We start from the raw sequence: 25009 nt of genomic DNA, 5'->3' as shown, positions 1-25009 counted from the left end.
TGGTAGTAGTAATTGCACCAAGATGAGCTGAATCTTTAGAATACGTTGCAAGACGAAATGCAACTAATATATCTGCCAAATTGTTTTTCTCATGAATGACATCCACTTTCAGTTTTGTTTCAGAATGATATTCCCTAAACTGGAAAAAAAAATTTTGTTTTTAACCATTATATAGCCTATATCTGAGAGTTCTTGCAGTTTGTGATGGGTGGTGGAGTGACTAACTATGTTAATTGTTACAGCTGACACAACTTGCTTGTGGTTTCACTCATTATATGCTTGTTTACCTCTGTAAACTCATTGCTTGATTTTAATTGTAGAAATCTTATAAATGTATTGATAATGGTTTCTTTTAGGGAAGTTTTACACCTTCTAGGAGAGGCAAAAGTTGCCAATGATCTGGAACTGTTTAACTCCAACGAAAGCCCCAGATCCACGTGAGAGCTCCAGGCTCAGCTTAGAAACCTGGCTGTTGGCCTGAGAATCAGTGCTCTATTGCAATACTTCTTTTGGTATCTGTCTCCAGGACAACTTCATTCCTTCATGTACCTCATTACTTTCTGTTTTAGCTCAGACACAAGCTCACAGGTAATAAAGATGAGGAGGAGGCAGAACAGGAGAAGAACGAAGAAGAATTTGAATTTTCAGTATCAATGGAAAACTTGCTTACATTTGCAAGTTGTGCTTAGATCAAAAATCTGTGTTATTTTGGACCTAGTTTTCTGATATAGGAAGTTCTATCAGAACATGTAGTTTACCAGAGGCAGATACTCCAAAGGACTTTCTTTTTAGAATCCACGATGCATTGCTATCTCATATTCAATCTATTGGTCAACTAATTACTCTTAGTAATTTAATATAGCATGCTATTAATTCTTGCATATTGCATATATTGACAATAGAATTTTAACTATAAATGTAATACTTTACATTTCAATTAATATTAAATTGAATTTCACTGTTTCAATCCAGCAAATATATATTATTTTAATCTTAACTGTTGCACTGAATAAATTTCTGATTCTTCTTTGCATTAGGTTATCTGCAAATCTGATACACTAATAAAAGAAGGAGCAAATTAGTCTAGGCTGATGACTCCCTTCCATAACCCAGCTCTAGAAATGCTATGGAATTAAAAAGAAACTCTGAAAAACTAGAAAGACTACAGAAAATCCTTGGGGGACAGTTGAGACAAAGCGCTCCCAGGCAGTGGAGGGCAGATTAGCTTGAGAGAGTGAGAAAGAGGATTTAAATTATATTTTTATTTTTTTGCCACATTGCCTTTGGTGGATGATTTCCCGTGTTTATAACACTAATATAGGATGCCACTAGAAAAAATGGAATCCCTTAATGTATTAAAAATGACACATTTTGAGTAAGTGTTTTTCAGGAAGGCAATAAAAATTCTATATAATCAACATACTTCATCATGTAAAGACCCTGCTCTAAAGATCCAAAATTGACACACTAACATCATAATTAAAAGAACTAGAAAAGCAAGACCATACACATTCAAAAGCTAGCAGAGGGCAAGAAATAACTAAAATCAGAGCAGAACTGAAGGAAATACAGACACAAAAAACCCTTCAAAAAATTAACGAATCCAGGAGCTGGTTTTTTGAAAGGATCAACAAAATTGATAGACTGCTACCAAGACTAATAAAGAAGAAAAGAGAGAAGAATCAAATAGACGCAATAAAAAATGATAAAGGGGATATCACCACCGATCCCACAGAAATACAAACTACCATCAGAGAATACTACAAACACCTCTATGCAAATAAACTAGAAAATCTAGAAGAAATGGATAAATTCCTCGACACATACACCCTCCCAAGACTAAACCAGGAAGAAGTTGAATCTCTGAATAGACCAATAACAGGCTCTGAAATTGTGGCAATAATCAATAGCTTACCAACCAAAAAGAGTCCAGGACCAGAAGGATTCACAGCTGAATTCTACCAGAGGTACAAGGAGGAACTGGTACCATATCTTCTGAAACTATTCCAATCAATAGAAAGAGAGGGAATCCTCCCTAACTCATTTTATGAGGCCAGCATCATCCTGATACCAAAGCCTGGCAGAGACACTACAAAAAAAGAGAATTTTAGACCAATATCTTTGATGAACATTAATGCAAAAATCCTCAATAAAATACTGGCAAACCGAATCCAGCAGCACATCAAAAAGCTTATCCACCATGATCAAGTGGGCTTCATCCCTGGGATGCAAGGCTGGTTCAATATATGCAAATCAATAATTGTAATCCAGCATATAAACAGAACCAAAGACAAAACCCACATGATTATCTCAATAGATGCAGAAAAGGCCTTTGACAAAATTCAACAACCATTCATGCTAAAAACTCTCAATAAATTAGGTATTGATGGGACGTATCTCAAAATAATAAGAGCTATCTATGACAAACCCACAGCCAATATCATACTGAGTGGGCAAAAACTGGAAGCATTCCCTTTGAAAACTGGCACAAGACAGGGATGCCCTCTCTCACCACTCCTATTCAACATAGTTTTGGAAGTTCTGGCCAGGGCAATTAGGAAGGAGGAGCAAATAAAGAGTATTCAATTAGGAAAAGAGGAAGTCAAACTGTCCCTGTTTGCAGATAACATGATTTTATATCTAGAAAACCCCATTGTCTCAGCCCAAAATCTCCTTAAGCTGATAAGCAACTTCAGCAAAGTCTCAGGATACAAAATCAATGTACAAAAATCACAAGCATTCTTATACACCAATAACAGACAAACAGAGAGCCAAATCATGAGTGAACTCCCATTCACAACTGCTTCAAAGAGAATAAAAGACCTAGGAATCAACTTACAAGTGACGTGAAGGACCTCTTCAAGGAGAACTACAAACCACTGCTCAATGAAATAAAAGAGGATACAAACAAATGGAATAACATTCCATGCTCATGGGTAGGAAGAATCAATATCATGAAAATGGCCATATTGCCCAAGGTAATTTATAGATTCAATGCCATCTGCATCAAGCTACCAATGACTTTCTTCACAGAATTGGAAAAAACTACTTTAAAGTTCATATGGAATCAAAAAAGAGCCCGCATTGCCAAGTCAATCCTAAGCCAAAAGAACAAAGCTGGAGGCATCACACTACCTGACTTCAAACTATACTACAAGGCTACAGTAACCAAAACAGGATGGTACTGCTACCAAAACAGAGATATAGATCAATGGAACAGAACAGAGCCCTCAGAAATAATGTCGCATATCTACAACTATCTGATCTATGACAAATCTGAGAAAAACAAGCAATGGAGAAAGGATTCCCTATTTAATAAATGGTGCTGGGAAAACTGGCTAGCCATATGTAGAAAGCTGAAACTGGATCCCTTCCTTACACCTTATACAAAAATTAATTCAAAATGGATTAAAGACTTAAATGTTAGACCTAAAACCATAAAAACCCTAGAAGAAAACCTAGGCATTACCATTCAGGACATAGGCATGGGCAAGGACTTCATGTCTAAAACACCAAAAGCAATGGCAACAAAAGCCAAAATTGACAAATGGGATCTAATTAAACTAAAGAGCTTCTGCACAGCAAAAGAAACTACCATCAGAGTGAACAGGCAACCTACAAAATGGGAGAAAATTTTCGCAACCTACTCATCTGACAAAGGGCTAATATCCAGAATCTACAATGAACTCCAACAAATTTACAAGAAAAAAACAAACAACCCCATCAAAAAGTGGGCGAAGGACATGAGCAGACACTTCTCAAAAGAAGACATTTATGCAGCCAAAAAACACATGAAAAAATGCTCACCATCACTGGCCATCAGAGAAATGCAAATCAAAACCACAATGAGATACCATCTCACACCAGTTAGAATGGCAATCATTAAAAAGTCAGGAAACAACAGGTGCTGGAGAGGATGTGGAGAAATAGGAACACTTTGGCACTGTTGGTGGGACTGTAAACTAGTTCAATCATTGTGGATGTCAGTTTGGCAATTCCTCAGGTATCTAGAACTAGAAATACCATTTGAACCAGCCATCCCATTACTGGGTATATATCCAAAGGACTATAAATCATGCTGCAGACACATGCACACGTATGTTTATTGAGGCACTATTCACAATAGCAAAGACTTGGAACCAAGCCAAATGTCCAACAATGATAGACTGGATTAAGAAAACGTGGCACATATACACCATGGAATACTATGCAGCCATAAAAGAAGATGAGCTCATGTCCTTTGTAGGGACATGGATGAAATTGGAAATCATCATTCTCAGTAAACTATTGCAAGGACAAAAAAACCAAACACTGCGTGTTCTCACTCATAGGTGGGAATTGAACAATGAGAACACATGGACGCAGAAAAGGGAACATCACACTCTGGGGACTGTTGTGGGGTGGGGGGAGGGGGGAGGGATAGCTTTAGGAGATATACCTAATGCTAAATGACGAGTTAATGGGTGCAGCACACCAGCATGGCACATGAATACATATGTAACTAACCTGCCCATTGTGCACATGTACCCTAAAACTTAAAGTATAATAAAGAGTGATAACACAAAACAAAACAAAACAAAACAAAAACAAAAAAAAAGACACTGCTCTAGGCACTGAGATTAAAGCAAAAAATAAATAAACAGAAATCTTGCCCTCATGGAATTTATATTTTGATAGATAAAATAATACTGACACATCATAGTGCCTCCTATAACATGTTAGACCTGGTTCTAAGTGCTTTTATTTACCTTTGCTCATAGAACTTTTACAGCACCCATATGAATTCAGTGCTAGTGTTATTAATATTTCCCTTTACTCATGAGATCTGAAGGGCAGAGGAATTATGAAAGTTACCTGAAGTCCCATAGTTTGTGAGTGTGGTGGAGCCCAGGTTCCAACTGTGCAGTCTCCTATGGAACTATGCATGGAACTAGAAAATAAGTTGATGAGTTATCACTTATTCCCATTAGAATAACAAAAATTAAAGAGGGGATGTCATCGCATGTTTCCTAAGAAGTAGAAAAGATGATAACTCTAGACTGATTAAACTGGTTCAGCCATTTTGGAAAGTCATATTGGAAGTTTTAGAAAAGTTTAAGAAATGTGGTCTGTGACCCAGTGCTTGCACTCCAAATTTCATGCATGGTTCTTCCATGATGTTTATCATAGTGTTGTAGGGTGGTGCAAAAAGTTGAAGAAACCCTGCCTAAACCTAATGTAATGATGAATACAATGAAATAAATTCTGTTAAAAGCAACAAACTGGAGGTACATTCAGCAATAATAAACACACCTCAAATTCACAGTGTTGAGTAAGTAGAGTAGAAACAGAATAAAGCATTCTTTAGTTAGCTTAAAATACTTACAGACACATAGATATTTAAGGGATTCATAAATATTTAAGGGTGTATTTCAAACATCTCATAGAGGGTGAATGGAATGAAAATGTAGATGAGGGAAGGAGATATAAGTAAAAAAAAACCACAGAATGGATTTTCACAGATTGAGAACAAAAAGCTGTGGGCCAAAAAATGTGACTAGCTCTATTTTATATGTGAAGAATAAAGATTCAATCAATTGATATAGTCATATGGGGAGCCAAGATGGCCGAATAGGAACAGCTCCAGTCTACAGCTCCCAGAGTGACCGACGCAGAAGACGAATGATTTCTGCATTTCCAATTGAGGTACCAGGTTCATCTCACTGGGGATTGTCAGACAGTGGGTTCAGGAGAGTGGGTGCAGCGCACCAAGTGTAAGCCCAAGCAGGGCAAGGCAATGCCACACCCGGGAAGCACAAGGGGTCAGGGAATTCCCTTTCCTAGCCAAGGAAAGGGGTGACAGATGGCACCTGGAAAATCGGGTCACTCGCACCCTAATACTGCACTTTTCCAATGGTCTTAGCAAACGGCACACCAGGAGATTATATCCCATGCCTGGCTCAGAGGGTCCTACACCCACGGAGCTTCACTCATTGCTAGCACAGCAGTCAGATCAAACTGTAAGGTGGCAGCGAGGGTGGGGGAGGGGCGCCTGCCATTGCCAAGGCTTGAGTAGGTAAACAAAGCAGCTGGGAAGCTTGAACTGGGTGAAGCCCACCACAGTTCAAGGAGGCCTGCCTGCCTCAGTTGACTCCACCTCTAGGGGCAGGGTATAGCCAAACAAAAGGCAGCAGAAACCTCTGCAGACTTAAATGTCCCTGTCTGACAGCTTTGAAGAGAGTAGTGATTCTCCCAGCACGCAGCTTGAGATCTGAGAATGGATAGACTGCCTCCTCAAGTGAGTCCCTGACCCCCAAGTAGCCTAACTAGGAGGCACACCCCAGTAGAGGCAGACTGACACCTCACACAGCCGGGTACTCTTCTGAGACAAAACTTCCAGAGGAATGATCAGGCAGCAACATTTGCTGTTCACCAGTATCTGCTGTTCTGCAGCCTCTGCTGCTGATACCCAGGCAAACAGGATCTGGAGTGGACCTCCAGGAAACTCCAACAGATCTGCAGCTGAGGGTCCTGACTGTTAGAAGGAAAACTAACAAACAGAAAGGACATCCACACCAAAACCCCATCTGTACATCACCATCATCAAAGACCAAAGGTAGATAAAACCACAAAGATGGGGAGAAAACAGAGCAGAAAAACTGAAAATTCTAAAAATCAGAGCACCTCTCCTCCTCCAAAGGAACGCAGCTCCTCGCCAACAATGGAACAAAGCTGGACGGGGAATGACTTTGATGAGTTGAGAGAAGAAGGCTTCAGACAATCAAACTTCTCCGAGCTAAAGGAGGAAGTTCAAACTCATGGCAAAGAAGTTAAAAACCTTGAAAAAAGATTAGACGAATGGCTAACTAGAATAACCAATGCAGAGAAGTTGTTAAAGGACCTGAAGGAGCTGAAAACCATGTCACAAGAACTATGTGACGAATGCACAAGCCTCAGTAGCCGATTCGATCAACTGGAAGAAAGGGTATCAGTGATGCAAAATCAAATGAATGAAATGCAGCAAGAAGAGAAGTTTAGAGAAAAAAGAATAAAAAGAAATGAACAAAGCCTCCAAGAAATATGGGACTATGTGAAAAGACCAAATCTACATCTGATTGGTGTACCTGAAAGTGACGGGGAGAATGGAACCAAGTTGGAAAACACTCTGCAGGATATTATCCAGGAGAACTTCCCCAACCTAGAAAGGTAGGCCAACATTCAGATTCAGGAAATACAGAGAACACCACAAAGATACTTCTCGAGAAGAGCAACTTCAAGACACATAATTGTCAGATTCACCAAAGTTGAAATGAAGGAAAAAATGTCAAGGGCAGCCAGAGAGAAAGGTCAGGTTACCCACAAAGTGAAGCCCATCAGACTAACAGCTGATCTCTCAGCAGAAACTCTACAAGCCAGAAAAGAGTAGGGGCCAATATTCAACATTCTTAAAGAACAGAATTTTCAACCCAGAATTTCATATCCAGCCAAACTGAGCTTCATAAGTGAAGGAGAAATAAAATCCTTTACAGACAAGCAAATGCTGAGAGATTTTGTCACCACCAGGCCTGCCCTACAAGAGCTCCTGAAGGAAGCACTAAACATGGAAAGGAACAACCAGTACCAGCCACAGCAAAAATATGCCAAATTGTAAAGACTATTGAGGCTAGGAAGAAACTGCATCAACTAATGAGCAAAATAACCAGCGAACATCATAATGACAGAATCAAATTCACACATAACAATATTAACCTTAAATGTAAATGGGCTAAATGCTCCAATTAAAAGACACAGACTGGCAAATCAGATAGTCAAGACCCATCAGTGTGCTGTATTCAGGAAACCCATCTCACATGCAGAGACACACATATGCTCAAAATAAAGGGATGGAGGAAGATCTACCAAGCAAATGGAAAACAAAAAAGGCAGGGGTTGCAATCCTAGTCTCTGATAAAACAGACTTTAAACCAACAAAAATCAAAAGAGACAAAGAAGGCCATTACATAATGGTAAAGGGATCAATTCAACAAGAAGAGCTAACTGTCCTAAATATATATGTACCCATTACAGGAGCACCCAGATTCGTAAAGCAAGTCCTTAGAGACCTACAAAGAGACTTAGACTCCCACACAATAATAATGGGAGACTTTAACACCCCACTGTCAACATTAGACAGATCAACGAGACAGAAAGTCAAGAAGGATATCCAGGAATTGAACTCAGCTCTGCATCAAGCAGACCTAATAGACATCTACAGAACTCTCCACCCCAAATCAACAGAATATACATTCTTCTCAGCAGCACACTGCACTTATTCCAAAATTGACCACATAGTTGGAAATAAAGCATGCCTCAGCAAATGTAAAAGAACAGAAATTATAACAAACTGTCTCTCAGACCACAGTGCAATCAAACTAGAACTCAGGATTAAGAAACTCACTCAAAACTGCTCAACTACATGGAAACTGAACAACCTGCTCCTGAATGACTACCGGGTATGTAATAAAATGAAGGCAGAAATAAACATGTTCTTTGAAACAAACAAGAACAAAGACACAACGTACCAGAATCTCTGGGACACATTCAAAGCAGTGTGTAGAGGGAAATTTATAGCACTAAATGTCCACAAGAGAAAGCAGGAAAGATCTAAAATTGACACCCTAACATCACAATTAAAAGAACTAGAGAAGCAAGAGCAAACACATTCAAAAACTAGCAGAAGGCACCAAATAACTAAGATCAGAGTAGAAGTGAAGGAAATAGAGACACAAAAAACCCTTCAAAAAGTCAATGAATCCAGGAGCTGGTTTTTTGAAAAGATCAACAAAATTGATAGACTGCTAGCAAGACTAATAAAGAAGAAAATAGAGAAGAATCAAATCGATGCAATACAAAATGATAAAGGGGATATCACCACTGATCCCACAGAAATACAAACTGCCATCAGAGAATAGTATGAACACCTCTATGCAAATAAAATAGAAAATCTGGAAGAAATGGATAAATTCCTCAACACATGTGCCCTCCCAAGACTAAACCAGGAAGAAATTGAATCTCTGAATAGACCAATAACAGGCTCTGAAATTGAGGCAATAATTCATAGCTTACCAACCAAAAAAAGTGGAGGACCAGATGGATTCACAGGCAAATGCTACCAGAGGTACAAGGAGGAGCTGGTACCATTCCTTCTAAAACTATTCCAATCAATAGAAAAAGAGGGAATCCTCCCTAACTCATTTTATGAGGGCAGAATCATCCTGATACCAAAGCCTGGCAGATACACTACAAAAAAAGAGAATTTTAGACCAATATCCCTGAAGAACATCGATGCAAAAATCCTCAGTAAAATACTGGCAAACCGAATCCACCAGCACATCAAAAAGCTTATCCACCATGATCAAGTGGGCTTCATCCCTGGGATGCAAGGCTGGTTCAACATATGCAAATCAATAAACGTAATCCAGCATATAAACAGAACCAACGACAAAAACCATATGATTATCTCAATAGATGAAGAAAAGGCCTTTGACAAAATTCAACAATGCTTCATGCTAAAAACTCTCAATAAATTAGGTATTGATGGGATGTATCTCAAAATAATAAGAGCTATCTATGACAAACCCACAGCCAATATCATAGTGAATGGGCAAAAACTGGAAGCATTCCCTTTGAAAACTGGCACAAGAGAGGGATGCCCTCTCTCACCACTCCTATTCAACATGGTGTTGGAAGTTCTGGCCAGGGCAATCAGGCAGGAGAAGGAAATAAAGTGTATTCAGTCAGGAAAAGAGGAAGTCAAATTGTCCCTGTTTGCAGATGACATGATTGTATATTTAGAAAACCCCATCGTCTCAGCCCAAAATCTTCTTAAGCTGATAAGCAACTTCAGCAAACTCTCAGGATACAAAATCAATGTGCAAAAATCACAAGTATTCTTATACACCAATAACAGACAAACAGAGAGCCAAATCATGAGTGAACTCCCGTTCACAATTGCTTCAAAGAGAATAAAATACCTAGGAATCCAACTTACAAGGGATGTGAAGGACCTCTTCAAGGAGAACTACAAACCACTGCTCAGTGAAATAAAAGAGGATACAAAGAAATGGAAGAACATTCCATGCTCATGGGTAGGAAGAATCAATATCGTGAAAATGGCCATACTGCCCAGGGTAATTTATAGATTCAATGCCATCCCCATCAAGCTACCAATGACTTTCTCCACAGAATTGGAAAAAACTACTTTAAAGTTCATATGGAACCAAAAAAGAGCCTGCATCGCCAAGTCAATCCCAAGCCAAAAGAACAAAACCAGAGGCATCACACTACGCTACTTCAAACTATACTACAAGGCTACAGTAACCAAAACAGGATGGTACTGGTACCAAAACAGACATATAGACCAGTGGAACAGAACAGAGCCCTCAGAAATAATGCCACATATCTACAACTATCTGATCTTTGAAAAACCTGACAAAAACAAGAAATGGGGAAATGATTCCTTATTTAATAAATGGTGCTGGGAAAACTGGCTAGCCATATGTAGAAAGCTGAAACTGCATCCCTTCCTTACACCTTATACAAAAATTAATTCAAGATGAATTAAAGACTTAAATGTTAGACCTAAAACCATAAAAACCCTAGAAGAAAACCTAGGCAATACCATTCAGGACATAGGCATGGGCAAGGACTTCATGACTAAAAACACCAAAAGCGATGGCAACAAAAGCCAAAATTGACAAATGGGATCTAGTTAAACTAAAGAGCTTCTGCACAGCAAAAGAAACTACCATCAGAGTGAACAGGCAACCTACAAAATGGGAGAAAATTGTTGCAATCTACTCATCTGACAAAGGGCTAATATCCAGAATCTACAATGAACTCCAACAAATTTACAAGAAAAAAACAAACAACCCCATCAATATGTGGGCAAAGGATATGAACAGACATTTCTCAAAAGAAGACATTTATGCAGCCAAAAGACACATGAAGAAATGCTCATCATCACTGGCCATCAGAGAAATGCAAATCAAAACCACAAAGAGATACCATCTCACACCAGTTAGAATGGCAATCATTAAAAAGTCAGGAAACAACAGGTGCTGGAGAGGATGTGGAGAAATAGGAACACTTGGACACTGTTGGTGGGACTGTAAACTAGTTCAAACATTGTGGAAGTCAGTGTGGCGATTCCTCAGGGATCTAGAACTAGAAATACCATTTGACCCAGCCATCCCATTACTGGGTATATACCCAAAGGATTATAAATCATGCTGCTATAAAGACACATGCAGACGTATGTTTATTGCGGCACTATTCACAATAGCAAAGACTTGGAACCAACCCAAATGTCCAACAATGACAGACTGGATTAAGAAAATGTGGCACATATACACCATGGAATACTATGCAGCCATAAAAAATGATGAGTTCATGTCTTTTGTAGGGACATGGATGAAGCTGGAAACCATCATTCTCAGCAAACTATCGCAAGGAAAAAAAACCAAACACCACATGTTCTCACTCATAGGTGGGAATTGAACAATGAGAACACATGGACACAGGAAGGGGAACATCACACACCAGGGCCTGTTGTGGGGTGGAGGGAGTGGGGAGGGATAGCATTAGGAGATATACCTAATGTTAAATGACAAGTTAATTGGTGCAGCACACCAACATGGCACATGTATGCATATGTAACAAACCTGCACGTTGTGCACATGTACCCTAAAACTTGAAGTATAATAATAACAAAAGAATCAATCAATTCATCAAGAAAACCAAATAATTTTAGTGAGAATGAAATAGAAAATAAGTATCTATTTTTCCCCAAAATTTTACTGTGAATATAATGTTTTTTTATTTGTCATAATTCTTTTTGCCTCTAGTTCCACTTCCATATTTTTAATCCATCCTAAAAAGCTGCAAGGGTTAACTGAATAACTAGAAAAAATTTACAGAGAAAGTGTAATTGAAATTATTTAAAAAACCAGCCGGCATCACTCTGAACATTTTTATGGCAATGTAAATTCTCTTCATTCAGAAAGCATCTTTTAATATTTTAATTAGGATACTGTGTTATGTGAAAGGAACATCCGATTTTAGAAATGCAAATGAGGGTATGCTATGAAACAAAAATGCAGAATTAAAAAGGTAATATGTAGTTAAGCAACCAGCTATGAAGAGAGAGAATGCTGAGACGAATCAAGGAAATAACCTGATTTTTGAAATGAAAATTGTACTCTTATTTTTCAAATTTAGCACTTTGACAAGGTTAGTGACAGTTTTAATAATTTTTAACTTACAAATGCAATAATTATCTTTGTCTAATAAACTTGATATCGATCAACCAGCATGCGTTTATTGACAGTAACTAGAAGCAGTCACTGCCCCTGTGTCTGTTCCCTACAGCACCTCCAGGCAGCTGAGTAGGTGAAAACACTGTATTAAGTTACTGTCTCCACTTCCATCTTTCCCCCATTTTCCCTTTTGCTCATTGCTACAAAACAAAAAAGACTTTCATTGCAGCTATATGAAATATAGCTGGATTTTACAGTTTTCCCATTTTAAACATGAAGGAATTAAGTATCTAAAAGATTAAAGAACTTGGCCAGTGACTGAGGTGGGACTGAAATCAGTCAAAGCCCATAATCTCAACAACTAGACCACACTGGCTTGGGACTGTGGGCTTGGGGGACTTCCTTCTTCCTAGAAGATAATTTTGACCACATCTTTTTTTTTTTTTTTCCAAAATTAATGTTTTGTTGTTTCTTTGTTGTTGACAGGAAAATAAACCTAGCTAGAAGAAAAACTTCAGAAGAGCCATAAGCCTTTCCTCAATCAGGTGAATAACTGTGAGAACACATTTTTCAGGAGAGAAATCTTATGAAACAGGGAAGATAGAAGAGGAAGAAGCCATACAAGTAACATAGCAGGTGAATAGAGAGCTAGGTGGCCCAAGACAGAAAATGTTCCCTGGAATGGGCTCATATTGCCAGCAAGTGTTGGCCCTGCAGTTCCCCATATCTGGAGATATGTGGCTGTGTTCACTCATCAATGAAAGTGTTCATAGCCAACCCTATGACCACTATCCAGGCCTCATTGACTGAGGAGGACAAGAAATATTAGAACGTAACAATGAAAATATACATTGCAACTTGAAGAGAGATGGACCCAAATAAGGGATTAAAGAACAACATGTTTAACAAGAAAACTATTTATCATCCCAAGTTTCAGGTTCAAATTCTGAATTGTGTTCTCTCAGGTCTACTGCTAAAATCCATGGTTAAACTCTATATTGCATTTTGGATTAGGCAATAAGAAACAAACAACTGACTTACAGAGGAGCTACTCGTAAATATGGTGAAGTCTTAACGTGTAATATATGGTTTATGATGAAACTGAATAGTGTAGCAAGTTATATCTGCCCTTTAGGGTCATATAGACCTTGTCAAATTACAGAGCCCTGGGAACTCATATTATTTATTTGTGAAATAATATTTACAACATACCTTTCATAGAATATTTTGAAGGTTAATTTACATGTTGCAGATAAATAAAGTGCTTTTCACAATACTTGGCCCATATATAGCAAATGGCCAGTGAGCATTGCTATTAATAGCAGTAGTAGTAGTGGTAATAGCATTAAGTATATGAAGTAAGGGGAAGAAATCACACAGTGTATTTTCTGATTCAAAGGTCTTTCACCAATAGTAAGAGATAAGATATGTGTAAAAAAATTGAATTAATTCACATGGCATTATCGTTGAAGTCTTTAGAATGAAGGAGTTCCTCAAGTGAGAAAGGCTGGAAAGAAGACTGAGTACATCTTGGGTATTGCTCAAAGTTTGAAAGGAGGGGACCAAAACAGAAAGAAGTTTTAGAAAGAAGGTTTTAAGCAGAGGTAAAAAACAACAAACCACAGCTAGATGGAAAGGACTGAGAAATAAAAAAAGCACCAATGTTTTTTAAAGTAGCTGGTAATTTCATTTGTAATTAACTTGTATAGAATATTTTTGTAAGCGGGATACAAGTTAGGAATTTAAAAATACTAGGTTTTAGGAATATTTTAGACTATGAAGCTAAATAATAAAAAGGAACTGTCTTTGCCACGTACATAGCTGGATAAAACATGCAGGGTAAACTCTGAAAGAAGACAGTTTAGTATGTGTATTAGTCAGTGTTCTCTAGAGGGACAGAACTAATAGGGTAGATGTATATATAAAGGGGAGTTTATTAATGAGTATTGACTCACACAATCACAAAGTGAAGTCTCACAATAGGCTTTCTGCAAGCTGAGGAGCAAGGAAGCCAGTCCAAGTCCCAAAACTTCAAAAGTGGGAAAGCCCACAGTGCCGCCTTTTGTCTGTGGGCAAGGTCTGAGAGCCCCTGGCAAACCACTGGGGTAAGTCCAAGAGTCCAAAAGCTGAAGAGCTTGGAGTCCAATGTTCGAGGGCAGGAAGCATCCAGTACAGGAGAAAGATGAAGTCTGGAAGACTTAGCCAGTCTAGTTTTTCCATGTTCCTCTGCCTCCTTTTATCCTAGCTTCACTGGCAGATGATTAATTTGTGCCCACCCAGATTGAGGGTGGGTCGCCTCTCCCAGTCCGCTGACTCAAGTGTTAATCTCCTTTAGCAACACCCTCACAGACACACCCAGGATCAATACTTTGCATTCTTCAATTCAATCAAGTTGACACTCAATATTAACCACCACAGTATGGTTTATAGAATATTAACTTTCCTTAGAAAGTAATTCATTACAATAGAATTTGTGGTAATATAAACTGAAAAAAATCAACATTTCACAATAGATAAATGAACAGATGCATTAGAGTATATCTAACATCAGCCTATTATGCAGACATTCATGTAATTTTGTTACAATTAATGGCACGGGGCATTTCCAGTAACAATATAACATAAAAATGCAAGATTCAAATGCGCGCGTGTGTGTGTGTGTGTATACACCTCCCACTGTCCAACACCTTATATGTTGAAATGCAAGATTCAATGCATGCATATACGATCATGCACATGCAAGCAAAAAGAGTGGCAAAAAATACATTAAAATGTTGTCAACATGTTTCAAGATTATGGAGAAATGTTGTTTCGTTCTACGCATTTGTAAACATTTTCCAAGTTTCTAAATCCATGCCTTACTTTTATAATATTTTAAAAAAAAGAGTATTTAAAAAATAATTAAATTCTATGTATACAGCATGATGCCACTGGAAATGGCTATATGGAAATTATGAGCCAAGGGCAGTGGCTCATGCCTGTAATATCAACACTTTGGGAGGCCAAGGCAGGAGAATTGCCCTCTTGGAGTTTGAGGCTGCGGTGAGCTATTATCAAGCCACTGAACTCCAGCCTGAGTGACAGAAAGAGAGATCCTATCGCAAAAAAAAAGAAATTATGTTTTTCAAATTTCTGCTACTGTGACTAACATTGAATAATGTTGGGCAAAACCAGTTCTTTACAGGCAATATGACCAATAGCTTCAAAATCCCCTGTACTAAGCAATGCTAAATGACCTACACAGTCAGTACAAGGGTAGCTTTTTAAAAGCAAAGATGTAGGGTGATTCCCTGAAAAGCAGATCCCATATATAAATGGGGTGTTTAGCCTCACCACTGGCGTGAATGTAGTATAGACAGAAGTTGCTTCCAGCTGGGCGCGGTGGCTGCACCTGTAATCCCAGTACTTTGGGAGGCCGAGGTGGGTGAATCACCTGAGGTCAGGAGTTCGAGACCAGCCTGGCCAACATGGCGAAACCCCGTCTCTATTACAAATACAAAAAATTATCAGGCATGGTGGTGGATGCCTGTAATTCCAGCTACTTGGGAGGCTGAGGCAGGAGAATCACTTGAACCCGGAAGGCGGAGGTTGCAGTGAGCCGAGATTGCGCCATTGCATTCCAGCCTGGGCAACAAGAGGGAAACTCCATCTCAAAAAAAAAAAAAAAAAAAAAAAAGTTGTTTCCTGTTACTCAGCATACCTGTCCACACACTTCCCACTCACGCATGACAATCAGCAAAGTCCTTTATATGATGGAGGTGCAGAGATGCATATTCTATTGAAACCACCACTACAATATTCCCAAAGTAACAATTTGGAACTCAATCCTATTAATTTTTACTTCAATTATTTAGCTTTATGTGTATCTTCCACATTGAAAGGGAAAATAAATTACTCTGGGCCCGAATTTTATCACAATAAGAACAATTAAATATCTTATAAGCTCAGTCTTCTCTAGTGAGTTATAAACAAGTTCCTCTTTCTGAGAAGAAAATTAAATTCTTATTGCATCTGGAAACTCTTGCTAAAATATTTTATTGCTGCTGTTAGGAGGTTTAGAATAATGAAGGCAGAGGTAAAGTAAATATACTATCTCCATTTACTGTCTCTTTAATTGTTGAATTGTCCATTTTAGCACTAGTTTCATAGTTTATTTAATGTCAGTTCATGAAACAGAAGCTGGGGGTAGTGTGTGCTATTGGAATCACACAACCCAAAAAGCAACTAAGAAAATATGAGATCATCTCAAATGAACCACATTTATTTTTAATTTCATAGCAGACATGCTTACAAGATTCAGCAAATGTTCAACTCTAGCTATCATGGGAGAAGCAGTAGAACTTGGTTTAGACTGGGTAATAAAGGGAAATAGAAAACAGCAAATGCAGAGAATACTTAGCTAAAGAATTATAGGGCATATGAATTGCATATTTTCCTGTTTTTTTCCTATTAATTGAAATTTTACTGAATTTGAAGACAAATTAGAATGCCTCATTCAATTTCACTGAAAATATGTCATTTTCAATACGAATAGTCATTCAAATTAATTCATTCAAATTGTGTGTAACATCCACTTTGTGGATGGCATTTACACTAAGGCTGTTAGTGGCAGGAGCTTCTGATCCAATAGTCTAGGTCTTGAGTGAAAAGAACCTGCAGTATTTTTAGCAGTCACTTTATCCTAATAGAGGGCATTAACGTCGTTCCCAGCTTAGGGGAAAAATGTTTTCCAATAAATCAAAGCAAAAGAATATTAATAGTTATTTGTGAGCATTTGTGTTCCCTGGTAGTGATGTGGCCCTAAGTAATTCTTCAGCTGCATCACCATTGGAAGAAAAATAACTGATAGACAGATAGGTAAGCAGCTAGACAGACAGATAGGTAAGCAGCTACCTAGCTAGCTAGATAGATGATAGATAGATAGATAGATAGATAGATAGATAGATAGATAGATAATTTCCCTTTTTGCTGGAAAATAAATTATAAATCCATAGAGCCTAAGTAGAATCACTGATAAAATTTAGTAAGTATTTAATGTTCATCTTTTTCATGTGAGTTATAGCCTGGAATAGAAAGATGAGTAACTCACCATCCTTGGCATCAGAGTGCTCAATTATATATCTGGTGGGGGAAAATGAGGGAATAAACATAAAATTGATTACATTTTTGAAAAGATTAATCATGGGTGACACGATTCCTGTTACTCAGTATACCTGTCCACACACTTCCCACTCACACAACAATCAGCAAAGCCCTTTATATGATGGAGGTGCAGAGATGCATATTCTATTGAATGTATTAAAGTATTTCAGGGAAAACTTTACAAAGAAATTCACATGATCAAGAGACTATATATACATATATATATACAGTTATGTGTATATATATGTATATATATAGTCATGACACTGGAAAAAGTTCTAATAGAGTTAACGGCATTTGAAGTGGACCCCAAAGGTAGAGTAGCAGAGAGGCTGCACCTTAAAAACACTAATCAGAAGTGGGGTACTGTTGACAAATTAAGAGACAGGAGAAATAAACCTGAGAATTAATTACATTTGGAAGGACTTTACAAAGAAAGAATTAAGAGGCTCTGGATTAGAGGAAGTGGTCTAAAGATGGAAATATAAGTATAAAATATTGATATAGAAATAGAATTTGCATTGTTAAATATAAAAAAGTAAAGGAGGGATAATAGTCAAGTTCAAAAATCTAGATCTATATTAAGAAATAAAAAAAGTCTAGAGGAAATGAATGTTTTGGGAAATATTGAGGTATGAAAATGAATTTGTTTTTTCACCTGCCAAGTTTCAGCTCCATGCAGATATCCAAAGCTCATTGTCAAGGAGACTGAAACGCTGGTCTAGAGATAAACTTTCAGGATTCATTCATACTTAAAGCATGGAAATAGATGAAATTTTTGAGAAAGAAAGTCCCACAGAAAGGGTAGGTTTAATGAGAGAAGAAAGATCTTTGAAAAGTAAACCTAAGGAACAATATCTGTTAAAGGATATTAAACTATGATAATGTGAATCAATGTGATTCCCATTTCTGCTGTCCAGCAGTTACCAATAAAATTGTAGTTTTATTGATATTCAACTCAGTATGAGACAATTCAATGAGGTTTGCCGTTTTATTGAGAATTTCATAGCCTGTGGAATGTCCCTTATGTGATGAAAAGTATTGGAATACAATTTTGTATTACTGATGGGGCAGCTTTTATTTTCTTCTAACTAGATAGCAATAAATAAATTCTAGCACTTATGTAGCATATTATGGAAACATAAAAACTTGAGATTGCCAAGCAAATTTTTGTACATCAGGCAAATTCTTATCCAAATGACAGTAATTTTTTATTGATTGGATAAGCTATTCTTCATTCTTGTTTTCTTAGGATAGATCTAATTTTGTTTCCTATATCATAGCCTAGGCAAAGTGGAGCTGGGCGATTGTATCCCTTTCATGAACAAAAGAATTGTCAAAGTTCGTCATCTTGTCTCATCAATGAAGTTAAAACACTAATATATGAATAATAGTGGTAATAAATAATAACAATAATAATAATAATAATATAAGCCAGAATGCCTTCAAACACACTAGTTTGGACACAAACAGACTGAAGTGGCAGTAAAAATTCTTCCTTGAATTTTCCTCTCCAGTAAGATGTCTGTGTACGTTACTAAATCCAGTTCTCTCACTGTGGGTTCTGCTAGTTTTCTCCTCCCTCCATCTATCGTGTTAAGTCATCACATCTCAACAGTGGGGATCACCTACTGTTATCTATGGTTGCTGAACCATAAGCCTCCACCGCTTTTAATTAACTTGCAGACTGTTCCTGTTTCATTCTCAGGCTGCTGGGTTTTAGGAGTGTCTAAAAAGTGGAAAGAAGGAACCCTCATTCCCAGTGTGACACACTCTTATTATCTAAGCAACAAAATACTGCAGCCTGTAGTTTTAGTTTTTTTAAAAAATGCCTCTTCTAAATTTACACAATTGAGACTACAGTCCTCTCTCCCTAATACTCAAGCTGATTGGAGCTAGGCAGGATGTTAATTTGGGTGTCACATTTTCAAAGCTAATTTCTACATTCTGTACGCTGTTTCACAGTAACACATCATCTCCAATGCATGCCTCTCTTCACTCACAAGGAATTTCTTTTCCTCCTTATTAAAGTGCTCTTAAATGGCTCATGGAGAAAAAAAAAATTATTTCTGTAAGGCCATCTTACTAGGCCTTTAAATTAAGGGTAAAAATCTCAGGGTGAATAAAGCTTAATGTTAAAAGCTGCGGAAAAGAAAACTTGTTTACATCATCATCATCATCACTATTACTATTCTTACTGTCATTATTGATAACTGTGGTAAAATGGATTAAGGTTCTCTGCTCTTCACTACCCCTACCCACTCACTGTAATAGGATTACATCCAAACCTTTTGTCTCATGACTCTTGCAGGGCCTTGCAGTAGAGTAGGTGGAATATTTATTCTTATGCAGATAACTTGCTTTGGTTGGCGGGATGTTATTTAATGGGATGAAGATAGAGGCAATGAATATGCTTGAATGATCTGTCTTGGCTCCTTGTGTCTTTGTCATCTGTGGTGAGAAGAATATGTTGGGTAGAGCCATTGGTTCTGGAATAAGAACAAACACTGAGCTTTAACCAATGAGAAGAAACACTGAGCTTTAACTTGCAGCCTGGATCCAAGCCTAGCTAATTCCATCTGAGCTCAGCATTGCCAGAGCTGGCCTGTAAAAATGCATGAGCAAGAAATAGTGAGGTAAGACACTGAGATTTTAGAATTGTTTACAATGCAGCAACACCGTAAAGAAAAGTATACTTTAAAAAAACAACAAACAATTGAACACTGCTGCCTAGCTTTTCAAAACCAGACCATAGGTCTTAGATCAATAAGTAAGTAAATAACACAGAGAAAAATTATAAAATACATATCACAGAATGAAAAACCTTTCTGCTTCATTACAATGAGTTGAGTTGAAAGGCTGGAGTTGTGACTGGGACACTTCTAGAAAGAGAAGATGGAGAAAGTTCTTTCCCTTTCCATCCCCCCCGCAAAAAAAAAAAAAAAAAAAAAACCAATTAATTTGTGTGCACATTTTGTTGGTTTGCCTGGAGACTGAAGATAGACATTGCATGCATGATCCTCAGAGAGCACAGGACGATGTAAAGTATGAAATAGATGTGCCACACCCCACACAGTGTATGGGGAGTCTGGAGCCAGACTAATTGGGTTTATATATTAGCTCGTCTACTTATTAGCATGTGTGATCTAGCCATGCTGCTTTAGACCTCAGGAAGAGAGAATCACAGAAATGTAGGGAAATAACCATTCTCCTCACCTCTATCCCTGATCATGGGATAGCTTTGGCATCGTGAAAGGATTAGGTGACCACCATTGGAGGATGTCATTGCCTTGTGGAGGCACATATTCAAATGAAGGGTGCGGAAGGCAGAGAGACAAATAGATCTCCTTGACTGAGAGCAAAACAACACAAGGTGATATGTCCTTGAGCACATGGGAGACCACCTGCTTTATAGTCTCGGAATTAACAGAGTTTTTAGGTAAAGGGCAGGTGCTGCTACCGAGTAAGTAGAACCTCAGAGCTTGTGAAATTCATGAATTGATATTAATGTGGTGAAGCCTTGAAAAGATGTGGTACACTATATTTATCCTTGAATAAATTTAATTCATTTCAACAAATATTTATCAAGCATTTACTATGGGTGAAGTGTTATTTACGAATAAGAATGAAAGTAGCAGGCCTAAAGCAGTATGAATTATTAGTTTAAGCTTTTTAAAATAAATTTCAGATGACTTGAGATTGGAAAGCATATTTATTTCTTATTTCTTCATTCTTGGTTTCAGTCTTGATCGACAGAGCCCTGGATTAGCAGCACATGAGAGGCTCGTGTTCTGGTGATGATCAGTCTTAATTGGTTATCCTAACACTAGTCACCTATTGGTTCCACCTGTACAACCTCAATTTTCTTGACTGGAAAATGAAACAATTATCCTAAACTACCCTTGAATTATTATTTTCCCTTGATTTAAAATTTCATAGTTGAACTCTAGGATCTCAATTCCTTAGCTTTATGCTTGTATTTCAAATACCATTGGAATTTTTAAATGCCATAAGGCCAGTGTAAAGAATGCAAAATGGTAGTTTTGAAAAGTAGGTAGACTGAGATTTATCAGTTATAGTAATCCAAATGTTAATGCATTTATAAAAATTATCATGTTGGATTATCATAATTCTACATAGGATTAGTGGAGAGAAGGATCTCAAATAAATTAGCAAGTATATCACTTGCACCTTTGCATTGTGTTACATGTACCCAAGGATCAAAGTGATAGCCAAGAAATGTGCTCAGTGAAGAGTTAAGTTTGAGTTTTCACTATAAAGTGAAACAGCCATTAAAGCAGGTCTCAAATTTGATTTTCTTGATTTTGTTAATGATTTTTTGTTTCCCAAACAGCACAGCAGACACTGGAATGGAAAAAAACTTAAAAAAACCAAACCAAAACAAAACAAAAAACTAAAACTTAAAAACACTCCTTAGCATACCTTGAATGTGACTTAGGCAAAGTAGGACTTACTAGCAGTGTATAGGTAGCCTGAATCTAATGCCACCAGAAGGTCAGAAGGTGTTTAACTATAGGAAAGCTCTAGTTGGTCTCAGTTGGTCAGAGCACTTTGGGTTATTGTTAACCTGATTTAACGTAGTCTCCCCCAACAACCATGCTTGACTCGTTTTGTTTGTTTGTTTGTTTTAAATAAAGCTCTACATTAGTGTCAGAATAAAAGCATCTTTACTTACATGAACTAAACCTGTGGCATTTTTACTTGATCTACCCAGGTCCTGAATCGGACTTATTATTTTTGTATTACTACTAAGAGATGAGATTGAAAATAGAAAATCCCCCCATAATCCTGTTATTACTAAAACTGTCAGCTGTTGTAAATATAATGAAAATAAATAATTTATATTCAAAGTAAAACTTCATCTATTCTAAGCTTAACATATTGAACAGAATACATCAGAATAAAATAATCACTGTTACGTAATCGGTTTTTCCTTCTGGAAAGAATATGGCCTTTTTTTTTTTTTTTAAAGTCACACGAGTTTTTATTAAAGTCATATACTTACATTTTTAAAGCAAATATATTGACTAGTTCTTCTGAAAAATTGCTTGCAAAATGTAATTTCTTTTTTTTTCTTTTTTTACTCCACCAAATATTCTAGTTAATTTTTTTCTTTATTATACTTTAAGTTTTAGGGTACATGTGCACATTGTGCAGGTTAGTTACATATGTATACATGTGCCATGCTGGTGCGCTGCACCCACTAACTCGTCATCTAGCATTAGGTATATCTCCCAATGCTATCCCTCTCCCCTCCCCTCACCCCACAACAGTCCTCAGAGTGTGATGTTCCCTTTCCTGTGTCCATGTGTTCTCATTGTTCAATTCCCACTTATGAGTGAGAATATGTGGTGTTTGGTTTTTTGTTCTTGCGATAGATTACTGAGAATGATGATTTCCAATTTCATCCATGTCCCTACAAAGGACATGAACTCATCATTTTTTATGGCTGCATAGTATTCCATGGTGTATATGTGCCACATTTTCTTAATCCAGTCTATCATTGTTGGACATTTGGGTTGGTTCCAAGTCTTTGCTATTGTGAATAATGCCGCAATAAACATACGTGTGCATGTGTCTTTATAGAAGCATGATTTATACTCCTTTGGGTATATACCCAGTAATGGGATGGCTGGGTCAAATGGTATTTCTAGTTCTAGATCCCTGAGGAATCGCCACACTGACTTCCACAATGTTTGAACTAGTTTACAGTCCCACCAACAGTGTCCAAGTGTTCCTATTTCTCCACATCCTCTCCAGCACCTGTTGTTTCCTGACTTTTTAATGATTGCCATTCTAACTGGTGTGAGATGGTATCTCATTGTGGTTTTGATTTGCATTTCTCTGATGGCCAGTGATGATGAGCATTTTTTCATGTGTTTTTTGGCTGCATAAATGTCTTCTTCTCAGAAGTGTCTGTTCATGTCCTTCACCCACTTTTTGATGGGGTTGTTTTTTTCTTGTAAATTTGTTTGTGTTCATTGTAGATTCTGGATATTAGCCCTTTGTCAGATGAGTAGGTTGCAACAATTTTCTCCCATTTTGTAGGTTGCCTGTTCACTCTGATGGTAGTTTCTTTTGCTGTGCAGAAGCTCTTTAGTTTAATTAGATCCCATTTGTCAATTTTGGCTTTTGTTGCCATTGCTTTTGGTGTTTTGGACATGAAGTCCTTGCCCATGCCTATGTCCTGAATGGTAATGCCTAGGTTTTCTTCTAGGGTTTTTATGGTTTTAGGTCTAATGTTTAAGTCTTTAATCCATCTTGAATTGATTTTTGTATAAGGTGTAAGGAAGGGATCCAGTTTCAGCTTTCTACATATGGCTAGCTAGTTTTCGCAGCACCATTTATTAAATAGGGAATCCTTTCCCCATTGCTTGTTTTTCTCAGGTTTGTCAAAGATCAGATAGTTGTAGATATGCGGCGTTATTTCTGAGGGCTCTGTTCTGTTCCATTGATCTATATCTCTGTTTTGGTACCAGTACCATGCTGTTTTGGTACCAGTACCATGCTGTTTTGGTTACTGTAGCCTTGTAGTATAGTTTGAAGTCAGGTAGTGTGATGCCTCCAGCTTTGTTCTTTTGGCTTAGGATTGCCTTGGCGATGCAGGCTCTTTTTTGGTTCCATATGAACTTTAAAGTAGTTTTTTCCAATTCTGTCAAGAAAGTCATTGGTAGCTTTATGGGGATGGCATTGAATCTGTAAATTACCCTGGGCAGTATGGCCATTTTCATGATATTGATTCTTCCTACCCATGAGCATGGAATGTTATTCCATTTCTTTGTATCCTCTTTTATTTCCTTGAGCACTGGTTTGTAGTTCTCCTTGAAGAGGTCCTTCACGTCACTTGTAAGTTGATTCCTAGGTCTTTTATTCTCTTTGAAGCAGTTGTGAATGGGAGTTCACTCATGATTTGGCTCTCTGTTTGTCTGTTTTTGGTGTATAAGAATGCTTGTGATTTTTGCACATTGATTTTGTATCCTGAGACTTTGCTGAAGTTGCTTATCAGCCTAAGGAGATTTTGGGCTGAGACAATGGGGTTTTCTAGATACACAATCATGTCGTCTGCAAACAGGGACAATTTGACTTCCTCTTTTTCTAATTGAATACACTTTGTTTCCTTCTCCTGCCTAATTGCCCTGGCCAGAACTTCCAACACTATGTTGAATAGGAGTGGTGAGAGAGGGCATCCCTGTCTTGTGCCAGTTTTCAAAGGGAATGCTTCCAGTTTTTGCCCATACAGTATGATATTGGCTGTGGGTTTGTCCTAGATAGCTCTTATTATTTTGAAATACGTCCCATCAATACCTAATTTATTGAGAGTTTTTAGCATGAAAGGTTGTTGAATTTTGTGAAGGCTTTTTCTGCATCTATTGAGATAATCATGTGGTTTTTGTCTTTGGCTCTGTTTATATGCTGGATTACAATTATTGATTTGCATATATTGAACCAGCCTTGCATCCCAGGGATGAAGCCCACTTGATCATGGTGGATAAGCTTTTTGATGTGCTGCTGGATTCGGTTTGCCAGTATTTTATTGAGGATTTTTGCATCAATGTTCATCAAAGATATTG

The 25009-nt window shown here is 37.6% G+C and overlaps 1 long non-coding RNA gene and 1 pseudogene across 1 annotated transcript in view; one reads left to right on the top strand and one right to left on the bottom strand.

Annotated features, from left to right (window-relative positions):
- The window catches only part of LINC02465 (long intergenic non-protein coding RNA 2465), a 183750-nt gene that overhangs the window by 72895 nt on the left and 85846 nt on the right, over nt 1–25009 (bottom strand). The window contains exon 11 of the long non-coding RNA NR_151713.1: nt 19706–19906. This is a non-coding gene — a long non-coding RNA (long intergenic non-protein coding RNA 2465). The remainder of the gene's footprint in view (nt 1–19705; nt 19907–25009) is intronic.
- Nucleotides 21974–22054, top strand: RNY5P4 (RNY5 pseudogene 4; annotated as a pseudogene).

This window comes from Homo sapiens, chromosome 4, assembly GCF_000001405.40.
Source record: "Homo sapiens chromosome 4, GRCh38.p14 Primary Assembly".
NCBI lineage: Eukaryota > Metazoa > Chordata > Mammalia > Primates > Hominidae > Homo > Homo sapiens.
The sequence above is the reverse complement of the archived record's forward strand: the minus strand, read 5'-3'. Positions and strand labels throughout refer to the sequence as shown.